Here is a 12736-nt window from a genome sequence, read left to right on the forward strand (position 1 = left end):
TCTGGAGACTGAGATCAACCATGTGGGTAATCACTCTAACATGCCTGCATAATGAGGACCCACTAAAAACTCTGAACACTGAGGCTCAGGTGAGCTTCCCTAGTTGGCCGTATTCTGTGCATATTTTCACACGTTGATGCTGGGAAAGTAACACATCGTGACTCCACTGGGAAAAGAAAACAGAAGTTTCACCAAACAGAAGTTTGATACTTTCTCATATGGGTTTCTTCTCTTGGCTGATTTGAATCTGTATCCTTTCCTTGTAACCATAACTGTGAATATAATAGTTTTCAATAAGTTCTGTGAATTTCTCTAGCAAATTATCAAAGATTAGGGTGGTTTTGAGAACCCCTTGGACCTATAATTGGAGTGAAAATTGAGGGCAGTGGTAGTGTGGACTGTCTGCCCCCAACTTCACGGTTGGCTAAACTATTTTAGCAACATTGCTGCCAGTCACCCATGGTGACTGACAACTTGACTGCACCTGTGAAAGTCCTTGAAGCAAAGGATTCAGTTAGCCCACCTCCGGATTTCTAGATGAGATAATAAAATTTTGTTATCTTGAGAAACTATGAGATAATTTGTTGTTTCAAGCCACTAAGTCTTGGCGTAACCTATTACATAGTAATAGATAATTAATATAACTAATAGCATACTTTTAAAAAAACAATAAAGCTTGCTTCAAGCCAAGAGTTCAATATCAGCTTGGGGAACAAAGCAAGACCCTGTCTCTACAAAACATTTAAAAAATTAGCTAGGCATGGTGGCACATGCCTATAGTCCTAGCACTTTGAGAGGCAGAAACAAGATGATTGCTTAAGCCCAGGAGTTGGAGGCTTCAGTGAGCTATGATTGCACCACTGCACTTCAACTTGAGTGAAAGAGCAAGACTCTGTTTCTGAAAAAATTTAAAAAATTGAAAAAAAATAAAGCAACCAGGCATGGTGGTTCTTGCCTGTGATCCCAGCATTTTGAATGGCGGAGGCAGGTGGATCATCTGAGGTCAGGAGTTTGAGACTAGCCTGGCCAACATAGTGAAACCCTGTCTCTATTAAAAATACAAAAATTAGCCAGGTGGTAGTGGTGCTCGCCTGTAATCCCAGCTACTTGGGAGGCTGAGGCTGGAGAATCACTTGAAACCGGGAGGCAGAGGTTGCAGTGAGCCAAAATTGGTCACCGCACTCCAGCCTGGGTGACACAGTGAGAGTCTGTATCAATCAGTCAATCAACCAATAAAGCAAAACAAAACAAATCTTGTTTTCTTGTATTTAAATAGTCACATTGATTCCAAATCTAACCAAATGATAATAAGCACCCTTCACGTCTCATGCTCTCTATATATCTTTTAACTAATATCCTTATTTTTAGAGCATTTTTAGGATTATTAAAAAAAATTTTTTTCACCTTTTATTTTTACAGATGGAGTCATGCTATATTGCCTAGGCTGGTCTTAAACTCCTGAGCTCAAGGGATCCTCTCATTCTCAATTCAGCCTCCTGAGTAGCTAGGACTACAGGCATATGCCACTGCACCCAGCTTGAATTTTTAGGTTTACAGAAAAATCGAACAGAAAGGACAGAGAGTTCCCATGCATTCCCTTACCCTTCTTTGTACATAAATTACCTTACCCTTTTTCACACTCTGTATTTTTTCCTAACCAACCTACTCCAAACACATTTTCTATTACTACTTCCATGCAGATTACCTATTTAAAATAAGCTGGAGTGCAGTGGCGCGATCTCGGCTCACTACAAGCTCTGTCTCCCAGGTTCACACCATTCTCCTGCCTCAGCTACTGCAGGCGCCCACCACCACGCCCGGCTAATTTTTTGTATTTTTTTAGTAGAGGCGGGTTTTCACCGTGTTAGCCAGGATGGCCTCAATCTCCTGACCTCGTGATCTGCCCGCCTCGGCCTCCCAAAGTGCTGGGATTACAGGCGTGAGCCACAGCACCTGGCCAAAATTGAGATTTTTTATTGTTATGTCCTCAGGATTTAGGATAGTACCTGTATATGTGGTAGGTCCTTAAAAATATTTTTGATTAAATGAATAGAATGTTGCCTTTAGCGTTTAACTACTGATAATCATATCTTAGTTTTGGAAATCTTTTTGAAAGATGTTATTATGTCACTTTCTTTTCCTCAAAATTTCTGCTGAGGGACAAACCTGAGAAAAATAGCTGTAATGTATCCAATATTCTAACTGAGGTGCTAGACCACTATTGCAAAGGAGGTGGCCAAAATTTACTTTTATCAGCAAATTTGCTTTTATTAGCTCACTCTGTGTGTGTGTGTGTGTGTGTGTGTGTGTGTGTGTGTGTGTGTATAAAATAATTCACTGGGGGGATAAAGTTTCTAGAGTTAGGATTTCTTTAGAGACTAAATATGGAAAGGTGCAGTGTTTTCACTCTCCTTTAAGCTAAATAGGGGAACTACAGAGAATCACTTTGAGAGGCTCACATGTATCTTCTGGCACTTGGAACGCATAGAAATTGATCCCTGTCTGGATGCTGACATCTGAAGGCAAAAGGTTGGCTAGAGTGGCTCTTGTTGGCAGGGCAAGGAGTGAGTGCTGTGGAAGGAATACGCTGTATTGCCACTGGGGTAGGGAAGTAGTGTGTGAACCCCTGAGGCAGGGAGCCAGACCTGGGTTGCCTTGGGAGGGAGCTTGTCCAAGAGGACTGCTTGCAGGCATCGGGTAGCATCAACAGAAAGAGACTGGAAACCAGGTGCTGAGGGGCAGTCAGTGGCAGCCGGCAAGGGAAGGCACAAATTGGATCAACCTCTTTGCTTAAAATCCTGCAGTGGCCTCCTATTGTACTTACAGTGAAATCTATACTCCTCACCTTTGTGATTTGAGCCCTTCCTATGCCCACAGTCTTATCCTTTACTATTTTACACCTCTCTCACAAAATGTCAGCCACATGACCTTGTTTCAGTTCTTCTCATACACTGTATTCTTTGCTGCCTCAACATGTTAGCACAAACAGTGCCTTATGCCAGGACGATTTTTTTCTCTTGCTTTATCTAGGCTTGGCTCCTTTTTGTCTTTGAGATCTTGGCTAAATTTCCTTGCCTCTTAGAGACACTCAATGGACCCCTCAATTTAACATAAGTTTAATAATTTGAGTTTGGCAAAGTTGCAAGTGGCATAAAACTCAACATAACCGTAACTTAACAAGAAAAAAGGTTTCTATTCCTTTTGTGAGTCAGGTAGTCAGTCTAGATCTGGTAGACCTTTATGGTGTCAGGATCCAAGGATCCCTAATCCTGTCTTCACAGTGTGTGGCCTCTACTTTAAGTGTGCATCATTGTCCATGAGGGCTGTTCCTGCTGCAGCCAGTACACGTATATTCCAACTGGCAGGAAGGGGAAAATGGGAAAAGGGCACTTCTAAGGTCAATTCTAGAAGTTGCTCATACTACATCTGTTTACATACCACTGGCTTGAACTTAGTCACACACTCCCATTTAGCCACAAATTAGACAAGCTGGGAAAGATTATCTTTATTCTGGGTGGCCACATGCCTAACTAAAATTAAGGGGCAGGTTAAAATGCATCTATGGGACTACTGATAGTTGCTCCCACAAACACCCATCAGTTCTGTTTTCTCACAGCACTTAAGTTATAGAAGCTAAAACTTTTCTCCCTTGTGGAAGCTTTCTTTGATCACTCTGTCTAAAACAAATTTCTGTAATTTACTTTATTCTTTATTTACTTTAATCCCACCAGGCAGAGAAGGGGGTTCAATTGCAAGTGACAGAAAATTCAGTTTTAAAATGGCTTAACAAGGAAACAGTTTCGTTCCCATTCACGTGGAAGTCATGTAATCATTCTAGGATTTGCATGGTACTCTATGGTATCCAGAAAGGGAATGAGTTAAGTTATATCAGTCATCAAACTGTATCCTGTGGGCCAAAGCCACTTACCACCTGGTCTTGTAAGTAAAGTTTTATTGGAACATAGCCACACCTATTGGTTGAAGTATTATTTATAGTTGCTTTCTCACTAACTCTTTCTAACTTATGGCAGAGTTGAGCAATATAGCCCACAAAGTCTAAACTATTTACTATCTAGCCCTTCAAAGAAAATGTTTGCCAATACCTGAGTTATGTTAATAGGTTTGCTGAATAGCATGTATTTACAGGCATTACTCTCCTTGGAGCTGTAAGATTTTTTCCTTAGAAAGCCAGTAGTTGTAAGAAGAAGTGTTTTAAATTTGTTCCTACAACACCCCACCACACCCCCAATTTCTTCTTTAATTTCTGTTTTCTGTGGGAGGTTAGTGAGATTAAGACTCTTTAATTTTCTCCCTTAGCATTGTTAGCTGTCTAATCCTCATAATATCACGATTCTAAGAATCAGAGTACCAGAGCAGGAAGGTGCCATGTGTCTTACCCTATGGGGCACTCTGGTGTGCCACCTAGATTCCTAAATCTCTTTCTTATTTTCTTCAGGAAATCCAATTACATGAGTGTTAAGTCTTTTGATATTGTCCCACAGGTCCATGGGGCTCCATTTACTTTTTTCAACCTTTTTTCTCTTGTTCAGATTGTACAATTTTTATTGATTAACCTCAAGTTCACTAACATCCCCCTTGTCATCCCCATTCTGCTACTGCTGTCATCTTGTGAACTTATTTTAGATATGGTGTTTTTAGGTTCTAAAATTTCTCATTGGTTCTTTTTTACTTTCTATTTTTCTGCAGAGAACTTCTATCTTGCTATTTATTTCAAGAGGGGTCACTTTTACTTCTTGGAGGATGGTTATAATAACTGCTTTAATACCTATGTGTGATAATCCTAATATATGATCATTCCAGGGTTGGCATCTGTTGATTGTATTCTCCCTTAAGATTTGGTTCAATTTGCTGATTTCTTATGTGTCTAGTAATTTTGGATTACATCCTCTGCATTTTCAATTTGTGTTGTAATACCTTGTTAAAAATCCTTCCAATTATGTTTTTTAGGGGGAGGCAGGGGATGGAGAGAAGGGTTGTTTTAGGAATTAATTGGTCTAGTTAGCTTCAGGTTGTTAGTTTTGTTTCACTTTCTTTTGGTGAATATCTATGTCTTTTCAGTTTTCAAAGCATTTGTTATGTTCTTTGGGTCTCTCCCTCACATATGCCACTTAAGTGTTAGTTTGAGGCTTGGGCAGTGGTTTATTAAAGCTTTTGCTATGCTTCTTTGGTTATGTTTCACGCATGCGTAACTTGGGGGTGAGCCAGGGACTTGTGTTGATTCATATGCAGAAACGGGTGATCTCTTCCAGCTCTATCTGCACCAGGATTTTCCCCAACTCTCTGGCTCCTAGGGACTCTTCTAGTTCTTCTGAATAGAAATACAGGGTTCTTTCAGGTGAAGTCCTCTTGAACTGCCACTTAGTTTCTTGTGATAAGGCTTCTCTCCAGAAAAAGTGATGAAAGTAAAGAGGAAAAGACAAAAACAAAAACAAAAACACGGAGATATTTCCCCGCAACACACACTGTGCAACAAAGGCATCTTTTTCTACTCCTTCTATACTAAGATGGTTTTTTCTAAGTTTTAGGTGCCCACTCCACCTCCATCAGTTAATGCAGCACCATGACTATGCCTGGCCTTGGGGAAAGGCTGGGAGAGAAAAAAAGAGAAAACAAAATGAGGGTTTTTCTCAACACTCTCCTGCTTGAAAAGGTCCCTTTTCCTGGTCCTCCAGCAAGAAAGAGGGGTTTCTCTTAGAGATTTTGTTGTGCATGCTGACAATGGAGTTCCCCAATTCAATCTACCCTGAGTCAAAACCGGGAGATAGACGAAATTATAGAAAACTCATTATCACCATACCAGTCATCCTTTTAATTTTGACTTTCCCTACCAATTTGGTATTCTGTAAGCTCCAAAATCTTCAGCTATTTGGTTTTTTTGTTTGTTTTTTTAAATTATCCAGAGTTTTTAGTTGTAATTGATGGGTAAGATAGACTCTAGTGGGGTTACTCCATTTTGGCCAGCACTTTACCATAGGTAAGCCTATCAAACATAATTGTCACAATTGTTGGATAGGAGGATGCAAAAACTAATCAAGAGGTCAGTAGCTACTACCATAGGAAGCCATCTGTTATTTAACTTCTGTCTCTTCTTTTATTAGAGATAATACCACCTTGCTGTGACTTTTTTCTAAGGTGTTTTTTAAGTTGCAGTTTAATATATGTGATATGAACCCATTTATGTATCACAACAAAAGTTATATGTGTAAGGTTACACAGAGATTACACACAGAACTAGCTACTAGTTAAAATTGTGGAAGATGGGAATGAAGGCATACCTTTTTAAAACGCTATACATGTTTGTACTGTTGGAACATTAGAAATGACCAAACCAACCTACCAAAGAATAGAAGAATCCTCCTTATCCTAAAACTTATAGTGTCAGCTTTCACAGATTTCAGATTATTTATGTCTGATTTCTAGCTGCAGTAGAAACCTTTGGTGGGTGTCTGCTCAGCTCATCACAACTTTCTCTCTTTCTTTAAGAATCCTCCTCCCAATACACACTTCCCAGAAGGCCAGGCCCTTGGCAGCCATGTAGATAGTAAAGACCCAGTCTCACTGGCCAACTGAAGGATTCTGTCTCCTGAAGATTTATACTGGGAACTGAAGGGGCTAGCTTATTCTGGACTGTACACTTGATCTGATGTTATTCTGCTTAAGGAGCTGTAGGACAGCCACCTTCTACCACATATAGCAATAAGTAGAGAACTGGTCACTGTGGCTAATGTCTATAATCCCTGCACTTTGGGAGGCAGAGGCAGTTGGATTGCTTGAGGCCAGGAGTTTGAGACTAGCCTAGGCAACATAGCAAGACCCCATCTCCACCAAAAAGAAAAAAATTAACTGGTTGTGGTGATGTGCATACCTGTAGTCCCAGCTCCTCTGGAGACTGGGGTGGGAGGATTGCTTAAACCCAAGAGTTCAAGGCTGCAGTGAACAACTATGATTGTGCCACTGTGCTCCAGCCTGGGTGACAGAGTGAGAACTCATCTCTTAAAAATAAATAAATAAAATAAGTAGAGTAAACCATTTAGCAGAAAGAGGAGGAAAAAAGCACAGAAAAGTGCAAATGAAAAAACCAAGTGGTCAGAGAAAAGGAGAGAATTAAACATAATGAGAATTAGGTGGAGAATAAGCAAAAAATAAACTGAGAAAAGCGCTGAGTTGTTCCTAAAGGCTTTTAAATTCCCTAGTTGTACTAGTCTATTCTCACATTGCTAATAAAGACATACCCAAGACTGGGTAATTAATATAGAAAAGCAGGTTTAGGCTGGGCGCAGTGGCTCATGCCTGCAATCCCAGCACTTTGGGAGGCCAAGGCAGGTGGATCACCTGAGGTCAGGAGTTTGAGACCAGCCTGGCCAACGTGGTGAAACCCCATCTCTACTAAAAACACAAAAAATTAGCTGGGCGTAGTAGTGCATGCCTGTAATCCCAGGTACATGGGAGGCTGAGGCAGGAGAATTGCTTGAAACCAGGAGGCGGAGGTTGCAGTGAGCCTCTATCGTGCCACTGCACTCCAGCCTGGGCAATAGAGGAAGACTCCGTCTCAAAAAAAATAAAGAAAGAAAGAAAAAAAGGTCTAATGGGCTCACAGTTCCACATGGCTGGGGAGGCCTCACAATCATGGCAGAAGGCAAAGTAGGAACAAAAGCATGTCTTACATGGCAGCAGGCAAGAGAAAATGAGAACCAAGTGAAAGGGGATCCCCCTTATAAAACCATTAGATCCTGCGAGACTTACTACCACGAGAACATCATGAGGAAAACCATGATTCAATTGTCTCCCACCAGGGCTCTCCCACAACGCGTGGAAATTATGGGAGCTACAATTCAAGATGAGATTTGGGTGGGGACAGAGCCAAACCATATCACTAGTTCCACCACCTTTTGTGACCTATCAACATTGTTATCATTTTATTCAAGGAAATAATCATGTGTTTTTATAATAATTATTTCATTTTCCTTAAACTCTCTGAACTAAGACATTATATTTCTAGCAATAAATAGAAAACCAATGTTATAGAGAAAATGTGACTTAGATAACTATGATTTTCTTATTGTTTTGAAAAGAAAGAGATGGTTGAGATTGTACACATATGAAACAGCTCTAAGAAGGCATAATCCAGTATGCTATCACTATGGCCAGATCTTATCTTAAATGGGGAGCATAGTGAGAAAAAAATTGTATAGTAAATTTGGGAAAGGGTGGGAGCATGTGGATCGATTAGGAAAAAACAGATTTCTGGCAATCTTGGAATGAACAATTATGTTAGTCCATTCTTGCACTGATATAAAGAACTACCAGAGAATGGGTAATTTACGAAGAAAACAGGTTTAATTGGCTCACAGTTCTGCAGGCTGTACAGGAAGCATGGCTGGGGAGGCCTCAGGAAACTTACAATCATGGCAGAAGGTGAAGAGAAAGGAGCCACATCTTACATGGCTGGAGCATGAGGAGGAGAGAGAGGGGAAGAGGTGCCACACACTTTTAAACAACCAGATTTTGGCCCAGCGCAGTGGCTCAAGCTTGTAATCCCAGCACGTTGGGAGGCTGAAGTGGGCAGATCACTTGAGGCAAGGAATTTAAAACCAGCCTGGGGAACATGGTGAAACCCCATCTCTACTAAAAAACATACAAAAAAAGTAGCTGGGGGTGATGGCGCCTGCCTGTAATCCCAGCTACTTGGGAGACTGAGGCAGGAGAATCACTTCAACCCGGGAGGCAGAGGTTGCAGTGAGCCGAGACTGTGCCACTGCACTCCAGCCTGGGCCACAGAGTGAGACTCAAAAATAAATAAATAAATGTCTCAATAAATAAATAAATAAATAAATAAATAAACAACCAGATCTCACGATAATTCACTTACTATCATGAGAATAGCAAGGGGAAAATCTGCCTGCATGATCCAATCACCTCCCACCAAGCCGCACCTCCAACATTAAGGATTACAATTCTACATGAGATTTGGGCAGGGACACAAATCCAAAGAATATCAATAATTTACTCAGAAAAAAATTACCTGTATGCATTCATTCAACAAGTATATTTTGATTAGCCATTACATCCCAAGTATTGTAAGTGCTGGAGATGGAGTAGTGAATAAAACGAGGCCTTGCCCACATGGAGTTTATGGTCTAGGGGCAAGGAGGCAAAACAAACAAATACGAAATAGGGGTGATGGGTACTCTTTTTGAAAATAAAGTGGGGGTTACATAATACCTTGGCAGGTATGATACTTTGTATAAGAAGGCCCAGGGAAGCCTTGCTGATAAGGTGGCATTTAAGCTGAGACCTGATGGAAGTTTGGGAGAAAGCCAAGCTGATCTCTGCAGAGCACGGGTGGCATCTTTGAGCAACAGCAAGATTTCCTGTGTGAAGTATAAAGGGGAGAGGGTGGTAAACGACGGGACCATGAGTGGACATGTCATGAAGAAGGCCAGATCATCCTGGCCATAAGTACTCTGGTTTTTACTCTGAGCACAGTAGGAAAATGTTAGAAGGTTCTGGGCAGAGGGGCAAAACAACTAAATTCTTAGCAAATCACTCTTACCACAGTGGGAAGAATAGACCCTATGGGGTGAGTCTGGATGTGAGGCAACAATTAGTAGGCTCTTGGAATACTCTAGGTGAGAAAATTTAGTAGTTTAGACAAAAGCAGAAATGACGAATATAGTCTAGATGTATTTAAGATGGTGCTGACAGGATTTGCTGATGGGAAAATTGTGAGTTGTGTGAGAGAGGAGTTACATTTTTTTTTATCAGTAAGTTTTTGGATTAAACAGCCGGATGGCTGGAGATACCATTTACTGAGATGAAGAGTCATGATTTCTGTGTGGGGTTGGGGAGAAGATGCAATAGCTCTGTTTTGGGATGCCTATCTGTAGCTAACAACATGCCATGTGTCTAAAGACTGGACGGTTATAAGACATGCTTTAAATCTATTCGCTTGTTTAAGCAATCATCTGAGATAGAGTAATAATATTGAGCCATTTTGATTGAGGAAACTAGGCAAAGAGAAGTCACATATCCCTTGCCCGATTACAAAGTTAGGATCTAAATCTAGGGAGCCTAGCTCCAGAATCTGCACTCTTATCTATCTAAATGGATATATCAGCAGGCAATTGGATACAGTCTTCAGTTCAGGGTAGAAGTCAGGTCTAGATAGAGATATGCAGTTGGGAATTATTAGCACATTGATGGTATTTGAAGCCACGGTACTGTTTGAGATCATGTAAGGAGAGAGCATGGATGGAAAAGACAATCAGTTCAGGGGCTAAGTCTTGGGGTATTTCATCATTTGGAGCTCAGAAATGAGAGAAGGCACCAGTAAAGAAAAAAAAAGTTGGCCCAGCATGGTGGCTCACATCTGTAATCCTAACACTTTGGGAGGCTGAGGAGGGAGGATTGCTTGAACCCAGGTGTTCGAGACCAGCCTGTGCAACATGATGAGACTTCATTTCTACAAAAAATAAAAAAAAAAAAATTTAGCTGAGTGTGGTGGAGTGTGCCTGTAGTCCCAACTACTTAAAAGGCTGAGCCAGGAGGATTGTTTGAGCCTGGGAGAGTGACGCTGCAGTGAGCTATGATCATGCTACTGTACTCCAGCCTGGACAACAGAGCAAGACCCTGTCTCAAAAAAAAAGAAAAAAGAGAGGACTTGCCTGTGGAGTAGGAGGTAAATCAAGACCATGTTGTGTGTGGGAAGCCAAACATAGAAACCAGGCTGGGCATGGTGGCTCATGCCTGTAATTCTAACACTTTGAGAGGCCAAGGTGGGAGAATCACTTCAACCCAGGAGTTTGAAAACAGCCTGGGCAACAAAGTGAGACCCAATCTCTAAGAAAAATTTTAAAAATATATGGGCAGGGTGGTGAATACCTACAATGCCAGCTACTCAGGAGGCTGAGGTGGGAGGATCCCTTGAGCCCAGGAGATTGAGACTGCAGTGAGCTGTGATCACACCACTGCACCCCAACCTGGGCGACAGAGTGAAACCCTGTCTCTAAATCAATCAGTCAGTCAACCAATCATAGAAATTGTTTCAAGAAGGAATGATCAGCTCTGTCAAATACTGCTGATAGCTTGAAAAAATGATGACTGAGAATTGACCAATAGATTTGACAATACAAAAGTCATTGGTGGCTAAGCATTTTCAAGGAATGACAGGGGCAGAAGCTTGAAGGAGTGTGTCAAGGAGGGATAGGAAGAGGGTAAATGGAGATCACCAGCTTGGACAACTTTTGAAGATTTTTTTCTAAATAAAAGGAAGCATAACTAAGTTCTCTTTTCTTCTTCCCTAGTGGCTCTCTGCTGACTCCTCCAGATTGTGACACTCCATTTTTACCAAACTTGTAACTCCCAGAAAAGTCATATCTGGGGGCCTTACAAATCTCAGTTGTCAGAAACACACCTGACCAACCGCCAATCATATGCCCATTCTCACCTCTGCCCTTTTCTGGTTCATGGGCCAGTTATCAACCTAGCATCTGGTCCTATTAACCCAGGTGTCTCCCTCAAACTCTACCTCTTAACAGCCTTCCCAAACTCCCAGACTGGGTCAGGCATCTATAATTATGGGATCCTGAACTTTGCTCTATGGTGCTTATCACAGTTCGTAATTATACACATTTTTGTATGATTGTTTTATTTATGTTTGTCTTTTCTACTATGCTGTGCTAAGAAACTGGGCTCTGGAATCAGATCGCCAAGGTTCAAATCTTGATCACACGGACTAGTTGGATGGGCAAGTAATTTAGTCACACTGAGACACAGTTTTCGTATCTGTTAAATTAAAGTAGTATTCACTTCATCCAATTTTTGTGAGGCTGATACTATGTAAAGGGTCTAAAGACTGGTGCCTAGCATTCAATTAACCTGAAAATCATTGTGAATATATTAAAGTAGAAAATACATATTTTAATATAGCCAAAATAACCTAGAGCTAATCTGTTTATTTCCACCTACTCTTCCCTCCTTCCACTGCCGCTCAGGCTCACTGTGTTATATATTAGGCACATATCTTTTTTTTTACCTCTATTATACCCAACTGCAAAAACCATTATCTTACTGAATTTAGCAACTAATAGAATTTTTTAATGGAAGTGGTCTAAAACATTATAAGAAATTCCACCATTACTTTTTCCCTACAGTACAGAAGCCCCTTTGTTGTTTTGGGGGAATACCTAACAAGTAAAAGGCACTGAGTGAGTTTTCCAATTATCTGTTTCTCCATAACAAACCACCTCTCCACCTAGTGTCTTAAACCAACCATTTGCTATGTTTTATTACGATCTGGTGGGTAAATTGGGCTCATGTGAGTAGTTCTTGCTTGTCTCTCTCATACTATTGCAGGGAAAGAGATCCTGGAGCTAAAGTCATCTGTAGGCTACACTGTGCTGGATGTCAAATGTGGATTCTTCACTCACATGTTTAGGTGGAATAGAGTGATGGAACAGCAGCTGAGGACTAGCTGGATCGATTTCTCTCTCTCTCTCTCTCTCTCTCTCTCTCTCTCTTTCTCCCTCCCTCCCTTTCTCTTTGTGTCTCCTCTCCATAGTCTTCTCCATGTGGTAGCTTGGCTCTTTAATAGTATGGAGATTTCAATGTGTTCACACTTCTTACATGATGGCTGGCTTTCCCAGAATGAGACCTAGGTGGAAACTTAGGTCTTACCTTGGCTCAGGAGTCACACAGTGTCACTTCTACTGCACTC

This window comes from Homo sapiens, chromosome 6, assembly GCF_000001405.40.
Source record: "Homo sapiens chromosome 6, GRCh38.p14 Primary Assembly".
Lineage (NCBI taxonomy): Eukaryota > Metazoa > Chordata > Mammalia > Primates > Hominidae > Homo > Homo sapiens.